At 46.1% G+C, this 26,317-nt stretch overlaps 1 long non-coding RNA gene and 1 other non-coding gene across 3 annotated transcripts, besides 19 other annotated features; both read left to right on the top strand.

Moving 5' to 3' along the window:
* Window positions 155-1,354: an enhancer, noted in NCBI's record as "MED14-independent group 3 enhancer chr11:65188260-65189459 (GRCh37/hg19 assembly coordinates)". NCBI's record gives its function as "activates an origin of replication core promoter dependent on BRD2, BRD4, P300/CBP and CDK7 cofactors, and independent of MED14, by STARR-seq in HCT116 cells {active_cell/tissue: HCT116}" and the evidence as "EXISTENCE:reporter gene assay evidence [ECO:0000049][PMID:35650434]".
* Window positions 155-1,463: a biological region, named in NCBI's record as "MED14-independent group 3 enhancer GRCh37_chr11:65188260-65189459". NCBI's record gives its function as "regulatory_interactions: ATG2A".
* Window positions 404-988: a transcriptional cis regulatory region, noted in NCBI's record as "candidate enhancer chr11.3235 targeted for multiplex CRISPR interference". NCBI's record gives its function as "positively regulates ATG2A gene expression with high confidence in K562 cells {active_cell/tissue: K562}" and the evidence as "EXISTENCE:mutant phenotype evidence [ECO:0000015][PMID:30612741]".
* Window positions 587-1,066: an enhancer, noted in NCBI's record as "active region_4963". NCBI's record gives its function as "activates an Ori minimal core promoter by ATAC-STARR-seq in GM12878 lymphoblastoid cells {active_cell/tissue: GM12878}" and the evidence as "EXISTENCE:reporter gene assay evidence [ECO:0000049][PMID:35858748]".
* Window positions 880-1,463: an enhancer, noted in NCBI's record as "H3K27ac-H3K4me1 hESC enhancer chr11:65188985-65189568 (GRCh37/hg19 assembly coordinates)". NCBI's record gives its function as "activates a minimal SCP1, AML or CMV promoter by ChIP-STARR-seq in primed H9 embryonic stem cells {active_cell/tissue: H9 hESC(primed)}" and the evidence as "EXISTENCE:reporter gene assay evidence [ECO:0000049][PMID:30033119]".
* Window positions 1,464-2,049: an enhancer, noted in NCBI's record as "H3K27ac-H3K4me1 hESC enhancer chr11:65189569-65190154 (GRCh37/hg19 assembly coordinates)". NCBI's record gives its function as "activates a minimal SCP1, AML or CMV promoter by ChIP-STARR-seq in primed H9 embryonic stem cells {active_cell/tissue: H9 hESC(primed)}" and the evidence as "EXISTENCE:reporter gene assay evidence [ECO:0000049][PMID:30033119]".
* Window positions 1,464-2,635: a biological region, named in NCBI's record as "H3K27ac-H3K4me1 hESC enhancers GRCh37_chr11:65189569-65190154 and GRCh37_chr11:65190155-65190740".
* Window positions 1,937-2,156: an enhancer, noted in NCBI's record as "active region_4964". NCBI's record gives its function as "activates an Ori minimal core promoter by ATAC-STARR-seq in GM12878 lymphoblastoid cells {active_cell/tissue: GM12878}" and the evidence as "EXISTENCE:reporter gene assay evidence [ECO:0000049][PMID:35858748]".
* Window positions 2,050-2,635: an enhancer, noted in NCBI's record as "H3K27ac-H3K4me1 hESC enhancer chr11:65190155-65190740 (GRCh37/hg19 assembly coordinates)". NCBI's record gives its function as "activates a minimal SCP1, AML or CMV promoter by ChIP-STARR-seq in naive and primed H9 embryonic stem cells {active_cell/tissue: H9 hESC(naive and primed)}" and the evidence as "EXISTENCE:reporter gene assay evidence [ECO:0000049][PMID:30033119]".
* Window positions 2,164-24,906, top strand: NEAT1 (nuclear paraspeckle assembly transcript 1). 2 transcript variants are annotated; one of them, NR_131012.1, is made up of 1 exon: window positions 2,164-24,906. It is a non-coding gene; the product is annotated as a nuclear paraspeckle assembly transcript 1 (long non-coding RNA). The 2 variants fall into 2 exon arrangements; NR_028272.1 differs by having other exon boundaries at window positions 2,164-5,898.
* Window positions 3,667-3,796: an enhancer, noted in NCBI's record as "active region_4965". NCBI's record gives its function as "activates an Ori minimal core promoter by ATAC-STARR-seq in GM12878 lymphoblastoid cells {active_cell/tissue: GM12878}" and the evidence as "EXISTENCE:reporter gene assay evidence [ECO:0000049][PMID:35858748]".
* Window positions 4,617-4,666: a silencer, noted in NCBI's record as "silent region_3524". NCBI's record gives its function as "represses an Ori minimal core promoter by ATAC-STARR-seq in GM12878 lymphoblastoid cells {active_cell/tissue: GM12878}" and the evidence as "EXISTENCE:reporter gene assay evidence [ECO:0000049][PMID:35858748]".
* Window positions 7,076-7,145: an enhancer, noted in NCBI's record as "active region_4966". NCBI's record gives its function as "activates an Ori minimal core promoter by ATAC-STARR-seq in GM12878 lymphoblastoid cells {active_cell/tissue: GM12878}" and the evidence as "EXISTENCE:reporter gene assay evidence [ECO:0000049][PMID:35858748]".
* Window positions 7,176-7,365: an enhancer, noted in NCBI's record as "active region_4967". NCBI's record gives its function as "activates an Ori minimal core promoter by ATAC-STARR-seq in GM12878 lymphoblastoid cells {active_cell/tissue: GM12878}" and the evidence as "EXISTENCE:reporter gene assay evidence [ECO:0000049][PMID:35858748]".
* Window positions 7,396-7,545: an enhancer, noted in NCBI's record as "active region_4968". NCBI's record gives its function as "activates an Ori minimal core promoter by ATAC-STARR-seq in GM12878 lymphoblastoid cells {active_cell/tissue: GM12878}" and the evidence as "EXISTENCE:reporter gene assay evidence [ECO:0000049][PMID:35858748]".
* Window positions 9,324-9,618: a silencer, noted in NCBI's record as "tiled region #4367; K562 Repressive DNase matched - State 5:Enh". NCBI's record gives its function as "represses a minimal TATA promoter and a strong SV40 promoter by Sharpr-MPRA in K562 cells {active_cell/tissue: K562}" and the evidence as "EXISTENCE:reporter gene assay evidence [ECO:0000049][PMID:27701403]".
* Window positions 9,936-9,985: an enhancer, noted in NCBI's record as "active region_4969". NCBI's record gives its function as "activates an Ori minimal core promoter by ATAC-STARR-seq in GM12878 lymphoblastoid cells {active_cell/tissue: GM12878}" and the evidence as "EXISTENCE:reporter gene assay evidence [ECO:0000049][PMID:35858748]".
* Window positions 22,814-23,639: an enhancer, noted in NCBI's record as "H3K4me1 hESC enhancer chr11:65210919-65211744 (GRCh37/hg19 assembly coordinates)". NCBI's record gives its function as "activates a minimal SCP1, AML or CMV promoter by ChIP-STARR-seq in primed H9 embryonic stem cells {active_cell/tissue: H9 hESC(primed)}" and the evidence as "EXISTENCE:reporter gene assay evidence [ECO:0000049][PMID:30033119]".
* Window positions 23,392-23,521: an enhancer, noted in NCBI's record as "active region_4970". NCBI's record gives its function as "activates an Ori minimal core promoter by ATAC-STARR-seq in GM12878 lymphoblastoid cells {active_cell/tissue: GM12878}" and the evidence as "EXISTENCE:reporter gene assay evidence [ECO:0000049][PMID:35858748]".
* Window positions 23,640-24,464: an enhancer, noted in NCBI's record as "H3K4me1 hESC enhancer chr11:65211745-65212569 (GRCh37/hg19 assembly coordinates)". NCBI's record gives its function as "activates a minimal SCP1, AML or CMV promoter by ChIP-STARR-seq in primed H9 embryonic stem cells {active_cell/tissue: H9 hESC(primed)}" and the evidence as "EXISTENCE:reporter gene assay evidence [ECO:0000049][PMID:30033119]".
* On the top strand, window positions 23,824-23,923 carry MIR612 (microRNA 612). Its single transcript, NR_030343.1, has one exon. It is a non-coding gene; the product is annotated as a microRNA 612 (primary transcript).
* Window positions 24,907-26,317: the final 1,411 nt, after the last annotated feature.

Raw genomic sequence — 26,317 nt, forward strand, 5'->3', positions numbered from 1 at the left:
GGCCAGCCTGGAGTGCAGTGGCACAATCATAGCTCACTGCAGCCTCAAAATCCTAGGCTCAAGGGATCCTGCTGCCTCAGTCTCCCCAGTAGCTGAGACTACAGGCAGTCATGTGCACCTGGCTTTTTTTTTTTTTTTTCTTTCATTTTTTGTAGAGACAGGGTCTTGCTGTGTTTCCCAGGCTGGTCTCGAACTCCTGGCCTCTAGGCAATCCTCCCACCATGGCCTTCAAAAGCGAATGGATCCCACTCTTTTTTGAAAAATAAAATCTACCATAGTTTGTTTCTGGGATTTGGGAATGATGTGTGTGAATTAGAGAGATTTCGAGACCTGAAATAGAGAAAAGCAAGTTAAGACATCAACTGGGGCCCAGAAACAGCACTACAGCGGGGACGACCCACCTCTCAGATGCCTGGTGAGATAAAGAAAGGTCTGGCTGACTCCACTGCCCAGTACTGTGAAGCAGCAGTGAAGACTCCTCCATTGGTTTCATAAGCTGCCCAGCTTTCTAGAACATTTTGACAGACAATTCCCTCTTTCCACACGGTTCTTTCAGGCCAAATCACCCCACCCCAACCCACCCCTGGAGATACAGTCAGGAAGAGACTGATGGGGCAGATCCTGGAGGAGGCCGCACTGCCGGAATCTTCCCCTGGCAGAGAAACAGGGCTAAGCAGGCGCCAGGGAGCAAGCCTGGGCTTGCCACATCACCACCTTCTGTGCTGAAGGTCAGATGACACACAGTCACCAGTTTTCCGAGAAGCACAGGGAGGGGTGCATGTCAGGCCCAGCCCTGCCTGCTGATACCACCTCACAGACGCAGGCGAAATGTCTTCACCAGCTTCTTCTCGGTTGCCAAGGGGGCCTGCTTTCAAGGGGTTGTTTTGTATGGGGTGTGGGTGTTAACCAGGGAGAGGTTCCTGGCAGGAGTTCCTGTCAGATGCCATTTTCCATTCTGGTTACTTGAACCGGGGTCCTTTTTCATCCTCTACCTCAGGGGCCAGAGCTTCCTCATCACCCTGCACCCCCTAGCAAGGGAGGTGCCCGCTACACGGTCCAAAGTCCTCTCCAGACATTCGGGCCCTGCCCGCCTTGCTGGAGGGCTCAGGAGTTCACCAGGTTTGCTTCCAGAAGAGCCAGGCTGGGGATGCCTGCTTGCAAATGCAGCAAATAAAAAATAAATAAATAAATAAAAATCACCTTTCTCCCCACCCCCACCCAAATGTAAAATGAGCCGACAGCCTGTCCCTCGGCTATGTCAGATACTGCTTTCCGCACAATATCTTGGTTTTACATTATTTTGCAACGGCCTCTTCCCACTTAATCCATCCTGAACACACTTCTTGAATGTTCTACCCCGGCAGGGATGCGCATTCTCAGGAAACACGTCCCCTCGCCAGGCCCCTGGGAAGAGTCAAAACCACGATGCCTGCCCCTGAAGCGCCCGCGCGGCTCCACGGGGCTCCATGTTGTCACCCACTAGCTCCTGGACGCTATCAGCCCGCAGCAGGGTTTCCTGGCCAGAGAAACCGCCTGTTGGGGTGCGGAGCGTTCCACGTCCCCTCGCAGCACCCCGCTGGCCTTCTGGGCCGCCCCGCCCCCAACCCGCGCCCGGGCGCTGACGTCATCGGCCGAGCCCGACTCGGAACCACCGCCCGAAAGTCACGCGCGCCTCCCGGCGGGACGTGCCCTCTGCAGAGATCCCTCCGCCGCCGCCTGGAATTTTCCAGATGTCCTGCCGGCCCTTCTTTCGGGCCTCGGCTGGGCGTGGTGACCTCAAGCGACCCCGGCGGCTCCCGTCGCCCACTCAAGAGGGCGCCCCCGCCCGCCACGCCCCCAGCCCCTCTCGGGGAAGCGCGTCCCCCGCCCGACCTCAACAACATCCGGGAAGAAAAGGGGTCTTCTTCCTCATGGCATTCGCCTCCCAAATGTCACCTTGAGCGCTGTCCGCGATCCCAAAAAGCACTGTTAAAGAGAAGCGGGGATACACTGGGGTCCTTGCGTGGGGGCCGCCTGGGAGACCATGCACCGCCCGGGAGTCTCTCCGGGCAGGGTCGGGGAGGGACTTTTTTGCCGGTGGCCGTGGAGGAATCGTCCCGTTGAGCAATGACCCCGGTGACGCGGCTGAGGGCTATAAAAGCAAAAGTTGTGGCAAGTCCAGCCGGAGTTAGCGACAGGGAGGGATGCGCGCCTGGGTGTAGTTGTGGGGGAGGAAGTGGCTAGCTCAGGGCTTCAGGGGACAGACAGGGAGAGATGACTGAGTTAGATGAGACGAGGGGGCGGGCTGGGGGTGCGAGAAGGAAGCTTGGCAAGGAGACTAGGTCTAGGGGGACCACAGTGGGGCAGGCTGCATGGAAAATATCCGCAGGGTCCCCCAGGCAGAACAGCCACGCTCCAGGCCAGGCTGTCCCTACTGCCTGGTGGAGGGGGAACTTGACCTCTGGGAGGGCGCCGCTCTTGCATAGCTGAGCGAGCCCGGGTGCGCTGGTCTGTGTGGAAGGAGGAAGGCAGGGAGAGGTAGAAGGGGTGGAGGAGTCAGGAGGAATAGGCCGCAGCAGCCCTGGAAATGATCAGGAAGGCAGGCAGTGGGTGCAGGGCTGCAGGAGGGCCGGGAGGGCTAATCTTCAACTTGTCCATGCCAGCAGCCCCTTTTTTTCCAGACCAAGGGCTGTGAACCCGCCTGGGGATGAGGCCTGGTCTTGTGGAACTGAACTTAGCTCGACGGGGCTGACCGCTCTGGCCCAGGGTGGTATGTAATTTTCGCTCGGCCTGGGACGGGGCCCAGGCCGGGCCCAGCCTGGTGGAGCGTCCAGGTCTGGGTGCGAAGCCAGGCCCCTGGGCGGAGGTGAGGGGTGGTCTGAGGAGTGATGTGGAGTTAAGGCGCCATCCTCACCGGTGACTGGTGCGGCACCTAGCATGTTTGACAGGCGGGGACTGCGAGGCACGCTGCTCGGGTGTTGGGGACAACATTGACCAACGCTTTATTTTCCAGGTGGCAGTGCTCCTTTTGGACTTTTCTCTAGGTTTGGCGCTAAACTCTTCTTGTGAGCTCACTCCACCCCTTCTTCCTCCCTTTAACTTATCCATTCACTTAAAACATTACCTGGTCATCTGGTAAGCCCGGGACAGTAAGCCGAGTGGCTGTTGGAGTCGGTATTGTTGGTAATGGTGGAGGAAGAGAGGCCTTCCCGCTGAGGCTGGGGTGGGGCGGATCGGTGTTGCTTGCCTGCAGAGAGGGTGGGGAGTGAATGTGCACCCTTGGGTGGGCCTGCAGCCATCCAGCTGAAAGTTACAAAAATGCTTCATGGACCGTGGTTTGTTACTATAGTGTTCCTCATGGCGAGCAGATGGAACCGGGAGACATGGAGTCCCTGGCCAGTGTGAGTCCTAGCATTGCAGGAGGGGAGACCCTGGAGGAGAGAGCCCGCCTCAATTGATGCCTGCAGATTGAATTTCCAGAGGCTTAGGAGGAGGAAGTTCTCCAATGTTCTGTTTCCAGGCCTTGCTCAGGAAGCCCTGTATTCAGGAGGCTACCATTTAAAGTTTGCAGATGAGCTTATGGGGGGCAATCTTAAAAAGTCCACAGCAGATGCATCCGGCTCGAGGGGCCATCAGCTTTGAATAAATGCTTGTTCCAGAGCCCATGAATGCCAGCAGGCACCCCTCCTTTCCTGGGGTAAAGGTTTTCAGATGCTGCATCTTCTAAATTGAGCCTCCGGTCATACTAGTTTTGTGCTTGGAACCTTGCTTCAAGAAGATCCCTAAGCTGTAGAACATTTTAACGTTGATGCCACAACGCAGATTGATGCCTTGTAGATGGAGCTTGCAGATGGAGCCCCGTGACCTCTCACCTACCCACCTGTTTGCCTGCCTTCTTGTGCGTTTCTCGGAGAAGTTCTTAGCCTGATGAAATAACTTGGGGCGTTGAAGAGCTGTTTAATTTTAAATGCCTTAGACTGGGGATATATTAGAGGAAGCAGATTGTCAAATTAAGGGTGTCATTGTGTTGTGCTAAACGCTGGGAGGGTACAAGTTGGTCATTCCTAAATCTGTGTGTGAGAAATGGCAGGTCTAGTTTGGGCATTGTGATTGCATTGCAGATTACTAGGAGAAGGGAATGGTGGGTACACCGGTAGTGCTCTTTTGTTCTTGCTTCGTTTTTTTAAACTTGAACTTTACTTCGTTAGATTTCATAATACTTTCTTGGCATTCTAGTAAGAGGACCCTGAGGTGGGAGTTGTGGGGGACGGGGAGAAGGGGACAGCTTGGCACCGGTCCCGTGGGCGTTGCAGTGTGGGGGATGGGGGTATGCAGCTTGGCACTGGTACTGGGAGGGATGAGGGTGAAGAAGGGGAGAGGGTTGGTTAGAGATACAGTGTGGGTGGTGGGGGTGGTAGGAAATGCAGGTTGAAGGGAATTCTCTGGGGCTTTGGGGAATTTAGTGCGTGGGTGAGCCAAGAAAATACTAATTAATAATAGTAAGTTGTTAGTGTTGGTTAAGTTGTTGCTTGGAAGTGAGAAGTTGCTTAGAAACTTTCCAAAGTGCTTAGAACTTTAAGTGCAAACAGACAAACTAACAAACAAAAATTGTTTTGCTTTGCTACAAGGTGGGGAAGACTGAAGAAGTGTTAACTGAAAACAGGTGACACAGAGTCACCAGTTTTCCGAGAACCAAAGGGAGGGGTGTGTGATGCCATCTCACAGGCAGGGGAAATGTCTTTACCAGCTTCCTCCTGGTGGCCAAGACAGCCTGTTTCAGAGGGTTGTTTTGTTTGGGGTGTGGGTGTTATCAAGTGAATTAGTCACTTGAAAGATGGGCGTCAGACTTGCATACGCAGCAGATCAGCATCCTTCGCTGCCCCTTAGCAACTTAGGTGGTTGATTTGAAACTGTGAAGGTGTGATTTTTTCAGGAGCTGGAAGTCTTAGAAAAGCCTTGTAAATGCCTATATTGTGGGCTTTTAACGTATTTAAGGGACCACTTAAGACGAGATTAGATGGGCTCTTCTGGATTTGTTCCTCATTTGTCACAGGTGTCTTGTGATTGAAAATCATGAGCGAAGTGAAATTGCATTGAATTTCAAGGGAATTTAGTATGTAAATCGTGCCTTAGAAACACATCTGTTGTCTTTTCTGTGTTTGGTCGATATTAATAATGGCAAAATTTTTGCCTATCTAGTATCTTCAAATTGTAGTCTTTGTAACAACCAAATAACCTTTTGTGGTCACTGTAAAATTAATATTTGGTAGACAGAATCCATGTACCTTTGCTAAGGTTAGAATGAATAATTTATTGTATTTTTAATTTGAATGTTTGTGCTTTTTAAATGAGCCAAGACTAGAGGGGAAACTATCACCTAAAATCAGTTTGGAAAACAAGACCTAAAAAGGGAAGGGGATGGGGATTGTGGGGAGAGAGTGGGCGAGGTGCCTTTACTACATGTGTGATCTGAAAACCCTGCTTGGTTCTGAGCTGCGTCTATTGAATTGGTAAAGTAATACCAATGGCTTTTTATCATTTCCTTCTTCCCTTTAAGTTTCACTTGAAATTTTAAAAATCATGGTTATTTTTATCGTTGGGATCTTTCTGTCTTCTGGGTTCCATTTTTTAAATGTTTAAAAATATGTTGACATGGTAGTTCAGTTCTTAACCAATGACTTGGGGATGATGCAAACAATTACTGTCGTTGGGATTTAGAGTGTATTAGTCACGCATGTATGGGGAAGTAGTCTCGGGTATGCTGTTGTGAAATTGAAACTGTAAAAGTAGATGGTTGAAAGTACTGGTATGTTGCTCTGTATGGTAAGAACTAATTCTGTTACGTCATGTACATAATTACTAATCACTTTTCTTCCCCTTTACAGCACAAATAAAGTTTGAGTTCTAAACTCATTAGAATTGTTGTATTGCTATGTTACATTTCTCGACCCCTATCACATTGCCTTCATAACGACTTTGGATGTATCTTCATATTGTAGATTTAGGTCTAGATTTGCTAGCTCCAAGTAATTAAGGCCATGTAGGAGAGCATGGTAACCACAGATAGAACTGGTATTATCCCAAGTGGTCTGCAGACTGCTGAGTGGGGATGGGATCTGCTCTCTGTTGAGAGTTGGTAATCATTGGTTTGAAATGTGATGAAACCACTCAAGCCAATGAAGGTGGGTGTGTAGGTGGGGAGTACTTTGCCATAATATTTTAAAACATTACCTGGTTAGAGTTCTAAGTGGTACTTATTTTTGTTTGGTTAGGGGAAAGCCTGAATAAAAACAGAAATGGACACATAATATGCATATTCCATAGTCTTTGGGAGGCTGGAATGTGCCTGGGATTTGGGTCTAAGTGTATGCGTAATTCTTACCTCACTAAAGAATTTGCCTTGTTTTTTTCCTTTTGGTGAGTGACTAAAACGTCTGGGCTTCCCTGTGTGCGTGCTACAGTAAGCAAGCAGAGGCTGTGCAAAGGTGTGAGCAGGATCACGTGGAATCTGGAGGATACATCTTGGCTTGCAAACTGCCTCTGTCTCCTGGGTGGGACTGTTCTGTCCTTGCACTGCTGTTCTGTGTTACCTCTTGGGGTGTAAGGTTTTGCTTACAGGAGACAAACTTTGGGCGTAGAATGGAAGCCACTGCCAGCCTCTGTGCTGAGAAGGAAGGTGCTTGTTTCAAAGGGAGCAGCAAGGGAGGCTTGTTCTACTCACCTGGGCCTGTTTGCCTGAGAAGGGGAGATAAGGGCTGAACTGGGACTAGCCAGGGGGACCAACACAAATGGTGGGGGATCATGACCTGAAGGATTCTTTCCTTCCCATGAGCTGCAGGGCTGGTTGCCGTCCTTGCAACTGTGTCTTATTTGCCTGTGCCGTTATATCTTGGTGACCCCTCCACGTGTACACTACTGACAAACGGGTGGAGTGCTGGGGAGAAGTCACTGTGCCGCCCACCTAGTAAACCTTCTGTCTGTGCTCATGGCATCTCCAAGATGGGGCACTGCTGTGTGCAGAATCCAGGGTCCTCTTTCTGCTTGCAACTCCTTTCCCTGGATGCCCCAGAAACAATCCAGGCCTCCTTTCCTATCTTACCCCTTTGCTTTGCTTTTTACCCCAGCACCTCTATAACCGCCTTCTCTTCTTTTCAGAACTCCTTGTTTCTCGTCCTGTTTTTTATGATTACAAAACTCTTGCTTCCACCCTGGAAGATAACTGCTATAGATGCCTGTATGTAAATGGTGCTGTCTCCAGCAACTGGCATGCTGAAGAAGAATTGATTCACGGGGTATAAATGTTGGGGATTGGAAGTGGGGATGAAATGGCACTTGTTGATACAGGAGCAGAGAGGTGAGGCCGACTGCTGAAGACAGCTCGCCACCCTCCTTGCCTCCACTCCAATCCAGGGGCTGGGGCCACATTCTTTGCCTTCATTTATCCTCAGATCAGGTGAGATCGACAGGAGGTGTTGATGGCAGTGCCAGCAATTATTGCTAATCCGTTTGCATCCTTATGCATAGATCTGAATTCAGACTTTGTGAATTTCCAGAGGTGTGGGTAATATAATAGAATTCAGTGAGTGGGCATGGCTGATCTTGTGCAAATTAAAAGTTATGGGGCATAAGAATAGCAAAAGTTGAACTTCTTTTAAAAAGGAAAGTACCCTGAGAGCCAGTATTGGTTGAGGCTCTTCAGTATGCCCAGGTTGGCAGCACTGAGAACCGCAGGAACGGCCTGTTGTTACAAAAAGGAGATTGACTCAGCTGCCCTTGGTGCATCTGACTGACTATGACTGCTGAGAGATTCCAAGGACCCTTAATGCCAGGGCTAACCTCTCCATGTGCAGTGAGACCTCTGGAGGAAGTGTCATCCTCTGGCTTTGTGTGGTACTCATTATGGTGCAGTGCGGGCATGAAATGAAGACACCCAAATAGGCTTACAGATACGATATGTTTTAAATGTTCGTATTTAACAAAAACATACTGACACTGTTTGGAAATGGCAACAGGAAGATAGCAAAATGAATACTAACATTACGAAAAGATGAACAGGTACATGTTCCAAGGCAGGTGGCTGTGAACTTCCTCTGAGTGAAGGCATCCCCTCCAGCACCTTTCAGCCTGCTAGTTAGGACGACCCGCCGCCACCCTCCAGGACCTCCAGCCCTGCACTGCCTTTCCTCTCTTTTAAATAATTCTTCATTGAGTTCTAATATGTAAAAAAAAAAAGTTTACTGTAAAGTTTGCAAATAAGGAAATTTTTTTTAAAAGTCCTCAGTAATCTTACCAGTAACAATTGTTATGGGCACATTTGCTTTTGGAAGATTTCTTTTGTATGCATGGGATAAGTACATTTTTAAACAAAAATGGGATTATGCCATAAATTCTATTTTGTGACTTTAATATATAGTGAACACCTTTTTTAATGATGACAGGATGTTCCCTTGCATGGCTGTATCAATTTAAACAATCTTGTTTCAATGGGCATACAGGGTATTTTCTAGTTTTTTTTTCCTCTTAGAAAATAATACTTGCGATGACTTTCCTTGTAGCTCAGACTTTTTCACGTCTGTTGTTATCTCTTTGGGAATGCTGAATACATACATTTCGAGAAGGAAATGACTGTTAAACTCTTAAGACTTCAGGTTCATATTGCTAAACTGCCCAGCAGGGAGGGATTTTTTCAATTAGTGTTCTCACTGGTGAGGCAAACCTGATGCCTTCCCCTCTTCCTCAGAACCGGCTTTATCACATTGAAAACCTTTGCTCCTCCGACGGATCGAGTCTGCTTTCCCTCTGGATGTGAGCATTGCTTTGTCTGCTGGTGACTGAACATCTCTACCTTGTGTCAATTGGCCATTTGTGGTGTGTGTGTGTGTGCGTGTGTGTGTGTGTGTGTGTGTATGATTTTCTAATTCCTAGTCATTTTTCTATTGATTGTTTTGCAAAAGCCATTTACATCTTAAGGATATTGATAATCTTTTGTTATATTTGATGCAAATATTTTTTTCCAGTTTATAGGTTGCCTTTTAATTTTGTGTTTCAGGTAGATAAAAGTTAAACGATTTTCTTAGGTTAGTTTATCACTGTGGTTTCTGAACTTGTTATGTGTAGATCTTTTCCACCCCAAGAGTACATAAATATTAATCCATACTTTCTTATGGAACTTGTATGGTTTCGTTTTTTACATTTAAACCTTCTTCCCCGTGGTGTGTGTTGTGGAATCTGTGTTTGTGTGAGGAGGGGCATGGTGCTCTCAGAACCCACCTCCTGTGGCCAGAGAGCCCTGTCCTGTGAGGGTGGTTGTCACAGTGGCAGGGTTCAATTCAGAAGACCTTGAGGGCAGGCTGATGTTTCCTGAATGGGCCCCTGGTTGTTGCTTGTCCCTGACTCTCCATTTCCCCATCTGAGTGGATTTGGACCTAATAGGGCACTGGAGCTGGTTCGAATCCTGACTGGACTACTTGGCAACTTTATGTCTGGGAGCAAGTTACTTAACCTCCCCAAGCCTGTGTCTGTGAAATGCGGGTAAATGAATGTAGATGTTTGGCAGCAGCTACTCCTTGTTGAGCTCTCACAGTGAACTCTCCTGCCTCTGCCCTCCTTCCCCGCCTCCCCTGGTGCCTAGCGTCAGGTCTAGCCACTTCCTCCTGGGCCCCTCTCCCTTTTCTGTGGCTGGCTGCCTGCCCGCCTGGCGCTGGACCTTTCATGTAACGGGAATCAGCATGTATATTCTGGTCTGGTCTGTTTCTACACTTAATTTTGTTTCCAGTAGTATTTCCCTGTACCGGCAGAGTTCACAAACACATTTGAAGAGGCTTTTTCTCAGGATTCTTAACCTTCCCAAAGGAAGTCCCATGGATGGGTTTCTAGAAGTCTATAAATGCTCTGAAATTGTATTTTTCTGTGGAAAGCATAACTTTCATCTGCTTGTTCGTGCTCAAAAAAGATCATGAATGAATGATTGCATGATTTTATGCCATTGTGCTTATACTAAAGGATATGTAGCCCATCTCTTGAGCTGTTAAACTGTTTTGACTACTTTAAATCGTGCAGCTGTGAGCATCTCTGTAAATTTAGTGTACACATGTATCCCCTGGAGTGGCATTGCCTCGGCAGTGAGCACTTATGGTTTTATAACTCTCTTCACAGACTCAAATGACTCCAGAAAGCTACACTTCCTGTTGTGAGTATATGATATCCATTTCCCTACATAGCCACTAACATCAGGTTTTTACAATTTTATTTATTTCTTGCTACTTTAAGAAATTTTTGTGGTGAAATACATATAATAGAAGTTGACTATCTGAATCATTTTTAAGTATACATTCAGTAGTGTTAAGTATGTCGCCATTGTTGTACAACCAATCTCCAGAACTTTTTCATCTTGCAAAACAAACTCTGTACCCATTAAATAACATTAAACATTCCATTCCCTCCAGCCTCAGCAACCCCATTCTACTTTCTGTTTCTGTGAGTTTGACTATTCCAAGCACTTCATATCAGTTAAATCATGAAGTATTTGTCTGTCTGTGACTGGCTTATTTCTCTGAGCACAGTGTCCTCGAGATGCGTCTATGTTGTAGCATATGTCAGAATTTCCTTCCTTTTTAAAAGATCCAAATAATATTCTTATTTTATATCTTTTTTTTATCCATTCATCCATTAGTGGACACTTGGGTTGCTTTTGGCTATTGTAAATAATGGTGCTATGTACAAATATCTATATTATTGTATTTACAAGTATAATGCTGTAATGTACACACATCTTTTTGAGATCCTACCTTCAGTTCTTTTGAGTATATAGCCAGAAGTGGTATTACTAAATCTTACGATATTTCTATTTTTAATTTATTGAGGAACCACTGTAGTTTTTCATAGCAACTGCACCATTTTACGTTCTCACCAAGAGTGCACAAGGGTTCCGAGGTTCCCACATCCTCCCCAACACTTGTTATTTTCTGCTTTTTTTAGATTGCAGCCATCATAGTGGGTGTGAGGTGACATTTCATTGTGGTTTTGATTTGCATTTCCCTAATGAGGAGTGATGCTGAGCATCTTTTCATATGCTTACTGGTCATTTGTATGTTGTCTTTGGAAAAATGTCTATTCAAGTCCTTTGACTATTTTAAAAATTGGGTTATTAGAGTTATCGTTGTTGTTGACTTGTAGGAGTTTCTTTCTATATTCTGGATATTAATCCCCTATCAGATATATGATTTGCAAATATCTTCTCTTATTCCATAAGGTTACTTTTTCACTTTGTTGATTGTGTTCTTTGATGTATAGAAGTTTTTAGTTTTGAAATAGTCTAATTTATCTGTTTTTACTTTTGTGGTCTGTGCTTTTGGTGTCATATCCAAGAAATCCTTGCCAAATCCAACGTTATAAGGTACTTTTAAGGTATTTTAGTTGTCTTAGTCTATATTTCTGTACTCACCTTTCTTTATCCACTCATCAGTTGATGGGCATGTAGGTTGGTTCCATATCTTTGCAATTCTGAATTGTGCTATGATCAGGTGTCTTTTTAGTATAATGATTTACTCTCCTTTGGGTAGATACCCAGTAGTGGGATTGCTGGATCGAATGGTTTTTATAATTTTCTATTTTACCACAGTTTCTCTCTGCATTTTTCCTCTTTGACCACTAACCATGTGAAATTCTCATATTGACCTTTATAATGATCATGAACTCTTAGTATCATTGGGAAGGCCACATTTGCCACTTATGATTGTAAACCTTATCCTCCATTTTTCCTGTTATTGTTGGTGCAAAAAGCACCTATTATACCAGGACTTTAAAAATCAGTCTGATAAGTCTTTGATAAGTCTAATAATAATAACTGATAAGTCCATTGAATTTGCTTCTGATTACTTTTTCTTTAGTAGCTAAACATGTATGTACTCCTATGATTACAATGAACACTCCTCTCCATTTAAATTAATTATTTACATTGATGAAATAGCAAAATGTTAATGACTAAATACTGTCTTGGTTTTTTCGTTCCAGGTCAGTCAATATTAACTTCTTATAATTTTCTTTTTTTTCTTTATGTGTGTGTGTGTGTGTATTTTTTTTTTTTTAATTTCAATGGCTTTTGGGGTACAAATGGCTTTTGGTCATATAGATGAATTCTACAGTAGTGAAGTCTGAGATTTTACTGCACCGGTCACCTGAGTAGTGTACATTGTACCCAATATGTGGTTTTTTATACCTTGCCCCCCTCTTACCCTCCCCACTTTGAGTCTCTAGTGTCCATTATGTCACTCTGTATACCTTTTTGTACCCATAAGTTAGCTCTCACTTATAAGTGAGAACACACAGTATTTGGTTTTCCATTCCTGAGTTGCTTCACTTAGAATAATATCCTCCAGCTCCATCCAAAATTGCTGCAAAAAAAAAAAAAACCACAAACATTATTTTGTTCTTTTTTATTGCTAAGTCATATTCCATGGTGTAGAGATACCACATTTTATTTATCCACTCACTGGTTGATGGGTTGGTTCCACATCTTTGCAATTGTGACTTGTACTGCCATCAAGTGTCTTTCTGGTATAATGACTTCTTTTCCTTTGGGTAGATACCCAGGAGTGGGATTGCTAGATCAAATGGTTCTTAACATTTTCTCTCTGGATCTATTTCTGGAAATTTTAGGCTCCAGTTTTTGTTGTTGTTGTTAATAAAATGCAATGGAATGTAATGATCATCACTTTTCATTATGCTTTAAAATCTGGTAAATGGAGGCTAGAACACTCCTGTAAGGCAAGAATATTCTCTCTGTTGGAACTCAAATACACAGAACTGGGTAAATCTCAATCTTAATCTTTGATTCAGGACACAACATGGCTCTCTTTTACTTGCTTTCTTTAATTGTTTTTTAATAATGTGGTAAGCATTTCTGAATCTCCTATCCAATACAAAAACTAGGACAATACAGACAGTAACTCCTATGGTTACAATGAACACTCCTCTCCACTTAAATTAATTATTTACACTGATGAAATTGAAATAGCAAAATTTTAATGACTAAATACTGTCTTTGATTTTTTGTTCCAGGTCTGTCAATATTAACTTCTTATAATTTTCTTTTTTTTTCTTTATGTGTGTGTGTGTGTGTGTATATATATATATTTAATTTCAATGGCTTTTGGGGTACAAATGGCTTTTGGTCATATATATGAGTTCTACAGTAGTGAAGTCTGAGATTTTACTACACCTTCCACTTATGTGGTCCCACACCACCCGCCTCCCCTGCCGCCTCCTGCCACCCCCTAGGCCAAGGTAATAATCATCCTGAATCCTGGGTTTATCTCTCACTTGCTTTCTTTTCATATAATTTTGCAAAAGAATCTGATCTAAATGTGTTTTTCAGAGTATATATTTATATTTTAGCTGTTCTTAGAGAAAATTTATTATTTTGCATGTAATCTTATGGAACATTCTCATTTAATACCATGGTAAGATTCAGCCCTTGCCCAGGGGATAGTTCATTTAGTTTGTTTACTGGATAGAGCTCATCATGTGACTATACCTCAGTTAGTTTATCAGTTCTCCCATCCATGGTGACTAGGTTGCCTCTCAGCCTCTCAACAACACTGTTTCTCAGTGTCCTTGTAGAAGTGATATGTGGGTGTTTTCTCCTTACACAGAGTTGAAAGGTGACGACAACAACGTTGGCACTACCAATCCCCCACCCTCCAGAGGGGTAACCAGTGTTACCAGTTTGCTGTGTTTCCTGCTACACCTCGCCTTATTCACTTCCATTTGTATCTGAAAAACGTGTTGCATGGTTTCTTTTCTATAGAAGTGGTAAAATGCTATTGTGTCCTGTACATTATTGATTACTTTTTTTCATTTAACAGTAGGGAGATGCCTGGGAGTACACAGAGAACTGCCCTCATTGTTTTCAACTTCTGCACTGTATGTCTGTGAGTTTAGCCATTCTGCTGTTAATGGAAATTTACAGTATTCTAATCTTTTGATATTACAAACAGTTCTGTGCGATCATCGTCATACACAACCCCTTGTGCACAATGCATGAGTGTTTCTCAGGGTAGGTACCAAGAAGTGAAATTCCTGGGTCATAGGGCGTGAGTCCGACATTTTTCTCCATTCTGCCCTGTTGCCCTCCAGAGTGGGTGTCCAGCTTTGCATACCTAAGTATGAGAGTATCTGTTGTTCATATCCTCTACGACGCTCCATATATGAAACTTAAGTTTCTGCTAGTTGCCATCTTTGATCTATCATGTATGCAGTGACCTACTAAGACTGTAATTGGTACAGTAGATTCTTGTCATCTGTGTGTGAATTTAGCATTCATGGGCTTAATGCTGACAAGGCCCCCAGGGTCCAAGACATATAATCATGTATAATTTTGTCAAGGTATAATTTTTTAAATTGCTTTTGTCATGTGTCTGCTGGTGATGCCCAACCCAGTGCTCTGCACCCAGGTCACACTGTGGCTTTGTCCTCTGCTTATGCCTGCATTGCAGCAACTGTCCTGAAGAGACCAAAATTATGCAGATTTAGGTAAGTCCATGGCTAATGTTATTATATTATGTGCTATTGTAATGGATGGGGCTGTGGAGTGTATGAATTTATAAATCACTGGTCTTGTAATTAAAATTCAAACACTATAGAAAAAGGCCATGTAGAAGATAAAAGTTCCTCTATAATCCCGGACCCCTAAGATAACTACTAATGACAACTTCATTTATATTCCTTCAGACATTTTCTGGCTGTGGATGTACTAAAATGTATCCTATTATTCTCTGCCCTAAAATGGAATCATACAAGGTGTACTGTTATTTTTATGGCTCTATAACATGTCATATTGTACGTGTTGGTATGGTCATTTTAACCATTTTTCTAGTGATGGCTTTGAGGTTATTTGCAGTTTCCTAGCCATCTCAAAGTGTGCTGCGGGGATCTCTTTTGCATCCCTCTGGGTGCAGAGCTGAGGCACCCAGAGGCAGTGTCCAGAGGAGGCAGCATCTGTAGGTGTCTTCACCTGCTCTGGCTCTTGGCACATCTGGTTGGTGACACTGTTTTGTGAGATGGGTTGAAAGCACGTGCTGCCAAAATAGAATAATGTTGGTCCTCTCCTCATGTGCCGTGGAACTGGGGTAAAACTGCGTAGTGGCTGCAGCTGCCTGTCCATACCGGAATCGAGTATAACACGGTGCCTGGCTTAGCACAAAACAGTAGTGGGTCCTGCAGGCCCCAGAGTCTAATTCCTGGTATTCTTTCCCCTACACAGATTAAATAAACCAAAAACAAACTATTCTAGGAAAGCGTCTGTGACATTTGTAAAAAGTGGTATTTAATGATCTTTTATTCACTTGTCTGTTTAGTTTGTTGAAATCTTAAGTGGCATCCTGGTCTGGGAAGGAGTGCTGTCTGCGCCTGCCCTCCGCTGGGCACAGCGTGGCTGCTTCAGGGGCTAAGCACACACTTTCTGTCTTCTAAAGGGCCGCCACATGCCAGGAGCTCAGGTGTGAGCCCGGCTCTGGCTCTTACCTCATAGGGTCACTCATAGGGGCACAGGGAGCAGAACATTGTACACAGCGAGGCACCACCCGGCTTGGCATCTGCCTCGGTGGACTTACTACCTCTAGAAGGAAATACCTGAGTTCCTCTGGCCTCAGCTCCTAGAGTGACTGGTGTGCTGTCCCTGTTACTCTTCTGTCAAGGTGACAACTGTGTGACCCATCATCTGTGTGTCAAAGCAAGGCCCTGCCTGGGCCTCTGCTCCTGTGCTGACCCCAAAGGCAAATGCTTTGCTAGTTTCCTTCCAGTTAATTTCACCTATGAATAGATGTGTGAAAACTGTTCAAAGCCATACCTGCACATGTTTGAACTTCAAACCCTGTGGGTGATTCAGTGGCATCTTTCTCTAACCCCCAGCCTCCCTTCCCACAGAGGCCACCGTCATGGCCAGTTGCTGCAGTTTCTTTCCAGAGAACCTGTGTATGTGTAAAGCTGTACAGGCGTGGGTACACCACACAGCCTGTCTTGCACTGTGGACTGTTGAGTTACTAGTACATCTAGGTAAGCACCGCATATCTGTATTCATGTCTGCCTTGGTCTTTTCAACATCTGTGTGGTAGCCGTGTTTGAATTACCCATTCCCTTTTTGGGGAACCATTAAGTTGTTTCAGCAATTTTTACTGTAGATAAGGCTATACCGCATATCTGTGTACATGGGTTTTTATGTACATGGGCAAGTATATCTGTGAGAGAAAAGTTTCCTCAGGAGGAATTCTGGGCACAGCATGTGTAAATTTCTAAATATGATGGACACCCCCAGCTTCCACCTCAAGGAGGTTGGTCCCATTGACATTTCCCCACACCTTCACCCAGGCTGTGCCCTTAAACTTGGTTATTTGTCAATGTGAGAAGTGGAAAATAGTATTTAATTGTAGTTTGGATTTGTATTTCTATTGGGTTGTATACTTACTGATTAATAATAAGAGCTCTTTACATATTAAGGAAATTAACCCTTTTCAAATACATTCCTATTTCTCACTAATCTTTAAGTTTTATTGTAATATTTTGCTCTTTAGTTTATATATATATGTATATATATATATATGTATATATATATATATACATATATATATACATATATATATACTAATTTTCTTTTATGGTTCCTGGATTTTGTGAGTAGTTTGAAAAGGCTAATCCAGCTGAAGATTTTGTTGTTGTTGTTAAACCCCATGTTTTCTCCTAACTCTTTTTATTTTTATTTTGGAGGACTCTATCTAGACTTAATTTTAGCATAACAAGTGACAGGGTTAGTTAGCCTGTTGTCCTTACACCATTTTCTGGCTAATACAGCTATTAACTATTGATCTGTCTATTCACGTGCCAGTTCCTAATGGTTTTACATAGTGTAATCTGCACTTCAAAATAGCGAAGGGAAGCCCTACCTCATTATTCTACTTTTCCAGAATTCTCCTGGCTATTCCAGGCTGCATGTTTACCTTAACCTTCCCTGTGATGTCTTCATGCCGTTGTCTTCTTATGCAAGAATAAGGTACGTCTTTCCATCCACTCACGTCTATTTAATTTGACTTTGCATTACACAGAAAGCTGGTCTTGGTCTGTCTACCTCGGCATCTAGTTGTCCTCACTGCCCCCTAGCCGACCCCACCCCATCTGACTGACTACCCCATCACAGAGTACTTTTATTTACGTTTTGCTCTGCCTAATGGTTACTTGATACTGTCACGCCGACAGTGTCCAGTTCAGTGGTCTTTGCAGTTGAAATGCTCCCGTACACACTGTCTTGTTAAAAATGCCAGTAAGTTCATACAAACCCAGCTTGCACCCAAGGTCACATTCAGAGAGCGTAGGGCTGGGATGGGTTGTTTTCCAAGCTTCTGCCACTGTGTGGCTAGCTCTTCCCACTGGGAAGTTCTGTGTACCCGGAATGTCGGAGTGGAGTCCTGTTCTAGTGTCCAGCACCTGACCCTGTGCCCAACCCCTCAACAGCCTATTCCTGCTGTCCACAGCCTGCTGGAACTTTTTACAAAATATGTTGCCATGCTGGACCCTGGGCACTGGACATAAGCCCCCTGGCAGCCTTTTTCATGTCACCCAAAGGGGTAATTGTCCTACTGGTGGTCTGTAAGATGAGTTAGGGTGACTTGCTAATAGACATTGTAAATCTTAATATTTATGTATGTATTTTATTATTACCGGTTTTCCATTTATGATGGTAATATTGTTTCTTCTAAGAATATTTATTTTTCCTTCTAAATATTGAGATAAAATTCATGCTTTTGAAATGTTCTATTCAGTGGCTTTTAGTATATTTGCTATGTTGTGCAACCATCGACACTATCCATTTCTAGAACTTTTTCGTCATCCCAAACAGACGCTCTGTATTCATAAAAAAATAACTTCCTACCTGTCTCTCCCCCTAGTCTTTGGTAACCTTTGTTATACTGGTAAACTTTGTTGTGCTCTCTGTCTGTGTGAATTTGCCTATTCTAGGGGCCTCATATAAGTGTAATCATACAGTATTTGTCTTTTTGGGTCTGTCTGATTTCACTTAGCGGGTTTTCAGGGTTCATTCATGTTGCAGCATATAACAGTACTGCGTTCCTTTTTCTGGCTGAATAATATTCCACTGTATGGATAGACCCCATTTTGTTTATTCACACATCATTTGGACATTTGGATTATTTCTGGTTTTTGGCTATTATGAACAATGGTGCTATGAACAGTTGCGTACAAGTTTTTGTGTGAACATATGTTTTCAATTCTCTCATTATATACCTAGGAGTAGAATTACTGGGTCATATGGTAACTGTATATTTTTGAGGAACTGCCAAACTATTTTCCCACGTCCATGCACCATTTCACATTCCCACCAGTAAGTAAGAGGGTTCCAATTTCTGCGCATTCTTGCCAACACTAGTTATTATCTGACTTTCTGGTTATAATCATTCTAATGAGTGTGAAGTAGCCTCTGGTGTCATTTGGATTTGCATTTCTCTGATGAGTGATGCTATCAAGCACCTTTGCTGGTGCTGTTGGCCATATGTGTATGTTCCCTGGAGAAGTGTCTGTGCTGAGCCTTGGCCCACTTTTTAATTAGGCGTTTGTCTTTTTATTACTGAGTTGTAAGAGTTCTTTATATATTCTGGATTCTAGACCCTTATCAGATACATGGTTTGCAAATATTTTCTCCCATTCTGTGGGTTGTGTTTTCACTTTATCGATAATGTCCTTAGACATATAATAAATTTGTATTTTAAAAGTGACTTGATTTGGCTGTGCAAGGTGGCTCACGCTTGTAATCCCAGCACTTTGGGAGACTGAGGTGGGTGGATCATATGAGGAGGCTAGGAGTTCGAGGTCAGCCTGGCCAGCATAGCGAAAACTTGTCTCTACTAAAAATACAAAAATTAGTCAGGCATGGTGGTGCACGTCTGTAATACCAGCTTCTCAGGAGGCTGAGGCACGAGGATCACTTGAACCCAGGAGGAGGAGGTTGCAGTGAGCTGAGATCATGCCAGGGCAACAGAATGAGACTTTGTTTAAAAAAAAAAAAAAGTGACTTGATTTAAGGGAAAAAATGACTGGCTATATTCAGTCAGATATGGCAAAAAGTCTCAAGGTGTTAATGTGAATGATTAAGGTCTTGGGGGGGGTGTCCCCTATCAGACTACAGGTGTTTAGAGGCACAGAAAAAGGTGCAGTTGGGTTCTTAATGTGAAATGATGAGAAGCACAACTCCAGTGTGTCTCTTTGTGTAGAATGTCAGCAGACACCCCCTGCTAGATGTGCTGGATCATGGGAAAGCATTTCCATTTGTTACTAGATTGTTCAGAAGTTTTAATTTATGATGGGTGTGGTGGCTCATGCCTGTAGTCCCAGCACTGTGGGAGGCTGAGGCAGGAGGATCATCTGAGGCCAAGAGTTCAAGATCAGCCTGGGCAACATAGTGATACCCTATCTCTTAAAAAAGAAGAAGTTTTTAAATTTGAAATAATAATAGGTACTGGATTTATGCAAATGTCTTTTCTGCGTCTTTTGAGATGAGTATCAGGTTTTTTTTTTTCCTTTTATCATCTGATGATGAACTTAATGTTTCCATTTGTATTAATGGAATACTAAGTCCCTCTGTGATTTCTGAACCAAGCTATTCCTAGGCCTGAGTTTTATTTTGTTGACACAGAAATAAATTAGAAGGCCAAGCGTGGTGGCATGTGCCTGTAGTCCTAGTTGCTGAGGTAAGAGGATTGCTTGAGCCCAGGAGTTCAAGGCTGCAGCAAGCTTTGATTGCGCCACTGCACTCCAGCCTTGGCGACAGACTAAGACGCTGTCTCAAAAAAAAACAAAAACGACAAAAAAAAAACAAAACAGAAAAAATAAACTAAGGCAATGACAGTCCCTGGCAAATGCTGGGAGGGAGGCAGCAGTGGTCAGGGAAGGTAACCCTGAAGCAGGACTTGTAAAGCAAATAAGATTGGGAGGCCAAGGTGGGTGGATCACGAGGTCAGGAGTTCGAGACCAGCCTGGCCAACATAGTGAAACCCCGTCTTTACTAAAAATACAAAAAAATTAGCCAGGTGTGGTGGTGGGTGCCTGTAGTCCCAGCTACTTGGGAGGCTGAGGCAGGAGAATCTCGAACCCAGGAGGCGGAGGTTACAGTCAGCTGAGACCGCACCATTGCACTCCAGCCTGGGTGACAGAGCAAGATTCCGTCTCAAAAAAAAAAAAAAAAAAAAAACCAAGAAGAAAAGGAATGAATTAGAACTTCTTCTGCTTGGACTTAAGGGCATCATCAGGCAGGTTTTGGGTAGGATAGCAGGGGAGGCAGAGACATAGTCGGGGTCAGTGGTCATGAGTGTGGCTTTGAGCCCAAAAACTTGGTTTCTGTTCCCTACTTTGCCACTCAGTAGTGCATGACTTTGGCCAAATTTCTTAAATTCATGAAGCAAGTTTCCGGGTGAATGAAATGGGGATAAAAATAGTGTTCAAACCTATCCGTTGGTTTGTGTGAAACTGAAATGAATAGTATCGTGCAGGTACTTGTGAGCAAGGGGAGCTGCTGTTTCCTGTCCCTTTATGATGGGAAATATCTAGACAAGTTCCCAACCCTCTGCACTGCAGGCTGCATGGCACGGAGGGTCTTGTAACACCAGCTGGGGCTGGCCTTCTTTTAGGAGCTTCAGTGGTTCTGAAAACTTTTATTTGTTTGTTTGTTTTAGTAGATGTGGGGTCTTTCTGTGTTGCCCGGACTGGTCTCAAACTTCTGGACTCAAGTGATCCTCCCCCGCTCAACCTCCCAAAGTGTTGGGATTACAGGTGTGAGCCACTGTGCCCAGCCTTGAAAACTTTTTCAGGTTCTTCCAGGGTTACTGGGCTATTAAATATTTCTATTTCATTATAAGTCAGTTTTTCAAAGTTATATTATCTTAATTACCTTTTTTATATGTATTAGTGTAGAGTAGCATTTTATATTTTGATATCCTCCTTATGCATAGTTTTTCACTTTTTATTCCTAGTTTTTCGTTTTTAATAAGACTTTCAAGAAATTTATTTTATTGGCCTTTTGAAAAAAGCAGCTTTAGATAAAGTAAGCAGTTCTGCTTTCATTTTATAATTTATTTCTACTTTTGTTTCATTAATCTTTTCCTCCGGCATGCCTTGGATTTTGTTGTGTTACTCTTTTTCTAGAGGCTCGCATTGTGTGTCTGGTTCACTTATGATCACGCTTGCCTACTTTTAAGAATGGAAGAGGGGAGGTGGAGGGTGGCTGCACAGTCGAGGGTGTGAGGCAGTCTTGCTCTAGCCCCACCATGCCCTCAGCCCGCTGTGGCCACGCTGGTTCCTCAATTGCTGGGGCGTGCAGTGTCTGTAAGGGAGGCTACTGATGCCATCCGAGGAAGATGTAAGGTTTCGTGTGGGCAGCGAGAGCCTAGCAGGCATGTGGGGTGCCCAGCAAAGGGTAACAGTGGACAGTTGTTGCCTCATTCCACAGAGTTTTGATTTTTTTTTTTTTTTTAATGGTCACTCCATCAACATCCCCCATGGCCAGAGCCTGAGCTGGTCCCCAGAGACACAGGCATTCAGCTGACAGCCTCGCCTTCACGCTGCTGCTGTTCTCATGGGGGACAGGCCTCAGGTGGCAATGCACAAATCATTAGTTAAGGGCAGTTGTGACAGTTACCAAGGAGTGTAGTCCCCCGCCCCCCGCCCAGTGAAAACAGCCCTAACCAGGGGTGGGGACCTTTGGGCTCTGACCCGAAGGGTAGGAGAAGCTGGAAGGACAGCATTCCTGTCTGCGAAGGCAGGAGCAAAGCTGCCAGGCTATGAAGGAAATGGCTGGAGCCTGAAGTCATGCAAGCTGGGGCTGGCAGGGACAGGGCCAACTTCCAGGCCTGGGGGCCACCATGAGGATTCAGGACGTGACCCCCAGGGCACATGAAGGCCTTCCATCTGTATTTAAGAAAAGACTTTATCAGACGAGTATGGTGGCTCACGCCTGAATCTTAGCACTTTGGGAGGCTGAGGCAGGTGGATCACGAGGTCAGGAGTTCAATACCAGCCTGGCCAATATGGTAAAACCCCATCTCTACTAAAACTACAAAAATTAGCCAGGCATGGTGGCGCACGCCTGTAGTCCCAGCTACTCGGGAGGCTGAGGCAGAAGAATCACTTGAACCCGGGAGGTGGAGGTTACAGTGAGCCAAGATCGCGCCACTACACTCCAGCCTGGGTGACAGAGTGAGACTCCGTCTCAAAAAAACCAAAAGACTTTATCTTATTTCCTATATGTTTGTGGTTTCAGTCCTGATGTATAATTTGACCCTAGTTAGAATGGTTATCTGAGGAAGTGGCCTGTACGATTTCTGCTTTTTTAAATGTGTGGCTCCCTTTCTTCATTGATTAACGTATGATTATTTTTATAAATGTTCCATGGCAGTGGGAAGGGATTCTCTGTCACATTCCACATCTGGATCAGTTCCTCCCCATTTTGTTGGTCAAATCCGATCTGCCATATCCTGTGTAATGACAAGTGAGTTGCATTCTCACCGTCACTCCTGGGGTCTCTCCGCTTCCCCTGAGCTGGCTCAGCAGTCTGCTCCATGTGTTTTGATGCAGGGTGACCCATTGGTATTCCCGACACTAACGCCCCCGTCTGTGGACTGCTTGCTGCTTGGGCTTCACTGTGTCTGGTGTTGACAGTGCAGACCTAAAGGTGTGCACACATGTGCACACACACTCCGCTGTCTTCTTGTTTGCACTGGACTTAAATATCTATGAGGGTTATTTTCAACTGCTGAATTTGGAATGATTTTTATATCTTTTCTGCTTTCTGCCCATGTACATGTGTTTATTTTACACTGTTGTGATTGGTAGTTACTATGTGGGGACACAATTACTTGGGCTGAAATAATCCACCTGTTGTGGTTGGGGTCCTCTGGGGCATTCCAGGGTGAGAGGTTGTCACTGCCACCTGGGCCATGTGGGCCGGCACCAGCATTTTGTGGTTACGAATTCTACAGTCACAAATATCTTTGGGCAAATCCCCTTCTATACCTCAAGGCAGCTTTTGGTTTGCAACCCCACTGGCCAGAGGGAAGGGCCAGTCACTTGGCTCTCTCACTGCCCTGCGCCCCAGATGGTTCTAGGGCTGCTGTTTTCCCTTGGCCCTGCCAACACCACTGTTTTTACTTCTGCTCATTGGCTGAGTGCAGTGGTTCCTGGAAGCCAGTGGCACGTTTCCCCGCGTAGCTCGCTTATCCCACAGCACACACCCAAGGGTTCTGTTGCTAACACGCTGAATTAATTCTTTGCTCATCTTACAGAGTGTGTTTTGACTGCCCCCATTTCTGAGGCCTTGTAAGGCCAGAGCTTTGTTGCTTCATCGGCAGGTTGGGACTTAGATGGCCGTGAATGTTTCCTCTCTGCTGCTGCAGTAAGTAAGTGCCCGCACCATAGTGTGTTTGGAGGCTGAAGTTGAAGCGAGGCTGTGAGGGGAGATGGACGTGTGAGGAGGGATGATGGGGCTTGAGCAAAGTGGGGGAGGGGGCAAAGGCAGTTGGCCCAACACATTCCCCACCCCTTTGAGAGGTCTGAGGCCTGCAGACCTGGCTCGGAGCCCACCTGGTAGTCCTCAGACTGTGTGTGTGTGTGTGTGTGTGTGTGTGTGTGTGTGTGTGTGTGTGTGTGTGTGTGTGTAAAAGAGAGAAGTTGTGGAGAAATGGGGGGCTGATTCTGCTCAGATTCATCAGGATGAGTAGAAGGCACCCAGCTCTCACCCTGGCCTGACATGTGTGTCCCTGAGCAGGTTACAGTCCTCTCTGAGCCTCTGCTTCCCATCTGGACCCTGCTGGGCAGGGCTTCTGAGCTCCTTAGCACTAGCAGGAGGGGCTCCAGGGGCCCTCCCTCCATGGCAGCCAGGACAGGACTCTCAAATGAGGACAGCAGAGCTCGTGGGGGGCTCCCACGGACCCGCCGTGGGCCCAGGGGAGGCAGAGCCTGAGCCAACAGCAGTGGTGCTGTGGACCGTGGATCCTGAGGGTGGCCTGGGGCAAGTACCGGCTGAGGGTCCAGGTGGGCTTTGTGTACCTTTGGGTCCTGGGGCCCTGGTGACTTGGACTCCAGGTTAGAGTCAAGTGACAGGAGAAAGGCTGGTGGGGCCCTGTGCTTCCGACTTCATTTCGAGTGATGGCAGTTCCCAGGAAGGAATCCACAGCTGACGGTGGCTGACAGATCAGAGAATGGAAGGCGAGGCAGGCGGGCGTCTGCGTGACCTCAGGTGCTTGGGGCCCAGCAGACCCAGAGAACCATTTCCACTAGGCCAGGGTGCCGGAAGTGTCCACAGGTCTTAGATTCCCTGTTCAGATGAAAAGATTTGTGCCTTTAATGATAAAAGTGATCTGCATAGAGTCAAAAATTCAAGCCATGGGTATAAAATGCAAGTAAAATCCCTGCCCTCACCTATCCCACCCTACTACACAGAGATGTCCTCTCGAGTTTCCTAGACTCACTCTGGAAATTTCTGTATACACACAGAAGCTTGTGCCTCTGCTCGTGAAGGCAGAGGGAGGGAGAGCTGAAGGGCCAGCACCTTCTCACCTGTGGGCCCCCTCAGTGCTCGGTCCCAGAGCATGCAGGACTGTGCCTCGTGTTCAGTTTGCTGGTCTGACTTCATGCTCCTTGGGCAGGATATGCATGTGCCATGCTAGGAGACATGTGGATGTGAAGCTGGGGGACAATGTCCCCTGGCTATGCCTTTACAAGGGAAGTAAGGAAGGTAGGAGGTGAGCCTGGGAGGGAGGGAGGGAGGCGCGGAGCCGCCGCAGGTGTTTCTTTTACTGAGTGCAGCCCATGGCCGCACTCAGGTTTTGCTTTTCACCTTCCCATCTGTGAAAGAGTGAGCAGGAAAAAGCAAAAGGCGCTGGTGGTGGCACGTCCAGCACGGCTGGGCCGGGGTTCGAGTCCCCGCAGTGTTGCTGCTTCCTTCCAGCTCCCTCCTCCAGGCCTCTCCTCCCACCCCACCAGGGATATCTTGTCTCCTAGAGGGGTAGCATTGGGTGGGGCACCCCAGGCCTCTCCCAGAAGCCCTCCTGCCCTGCTATCCCCTCCCTCATCCTCTGGGGCCCTGGGAATACAGCAGGGGACGTGGGGCCACAGGCAGCTGATAACTTAGCCCCCTCAGCCACTCCTGTGGGAGCGGGAGGGGGACAGCTTGGCGGCTCTGCACCCAAAGCTGTGGGGCCTACCTGGAGTGTCCCCACCCCTCAGGGCATACTCCCCACTGCCCTCTTCTTCCCAGGATCAACTCACCGCTACCCTCCTCTCCACATCTGAGGACCAGCGTGGCTCTTCCAGGGAGGGCTTGGGGAGATGAGGTCCAAGGGGAGAGGCCAGAAATCCTGAGGCCTGGGCTGGAGATGGGTGGGCGGACAGGGCCCAACGAACCGGCCCTTGTGCAGGAAGGCCAACAGCTGGGACCACAAGGTGCCGGGTGGGACAGGGAAGTCAGCCTGTGCTCTCCAGGCACCTGGGACCCAGGAGATCCCCCCGGCTCAGCACCAGCAGAGGCAGCTGCTGTGATCCTGGGCAGGCAGTGTCCTCCTCCCTCAGTCTCTGCCCCCTCCCATCCCCAAGAGGGAGGCCAGGGGCTCACAGTCCATTTCATGGGCCATGATACTGATGCTGTCTGCAGTTGGGGCAGCTTGCCTGACCACAAGGCTCTCCAGGGAGCCCCTGCCAATCACTATAATAATCTCCTTTAACGAGTCAGGCCCCATAAGGAACAGCCAGAAGCAGGAGAGAGGTATGCAGAGCTGGCCTATGGAGGCTTGCCATCTCTTCTGACCCCACAGAGCCCACTCAGAATACCACGCCCTAGTGGGTCTTCCCAGCCCAAACTCAAGTCACAGGATGGCACAGGTCCTCTAGGGAGAGCTGGGCTCCCATGGGGTGGAGGGAGCCCCAAACCTCAACAAGGCTGAGGGGATGCAGTATGCAGGGCCAGGGAAGGGAGCCAGGAGACAGAGGGGCCGAAAGCCAGTCAGCTTTGGTGGAGAGAACCCTTCATGAGGAGCCCTGGCTTGGGCCTCCTGGTCAAGGAGTGTTTGCAGCAATCTGTAGTCCCTTAGCCCCTGGCAAGTTCTGGTGCCAGAAAATCCCCTCCGGAGCTGGTGTCTCTCTCATTCAAGGGGTGAGAAGAGGCAGCGTGAAGCCGAGGTCTTGGCCGGCCATGCCTGGGTGGTGAGGCCACAAGTCCACCCCTGCAACTGCAAGGGCAGCAGGGAGGAGCTGCAGGATCTGCTGTCCTTGGATGTGATCAGCCTGCCAC

Source organism: Homo sapiens, chromosome 11, assembly GCF_000001405.40.
Source record: "Homo sapiens chromosome 11, GRCh38.p14 Primary Assembly".
Lineage (NCBI taxonomy): Eukaryota > Metazoa > Chordata > Mammalia > Primates > Hominidae > Homo > Homo sapiens.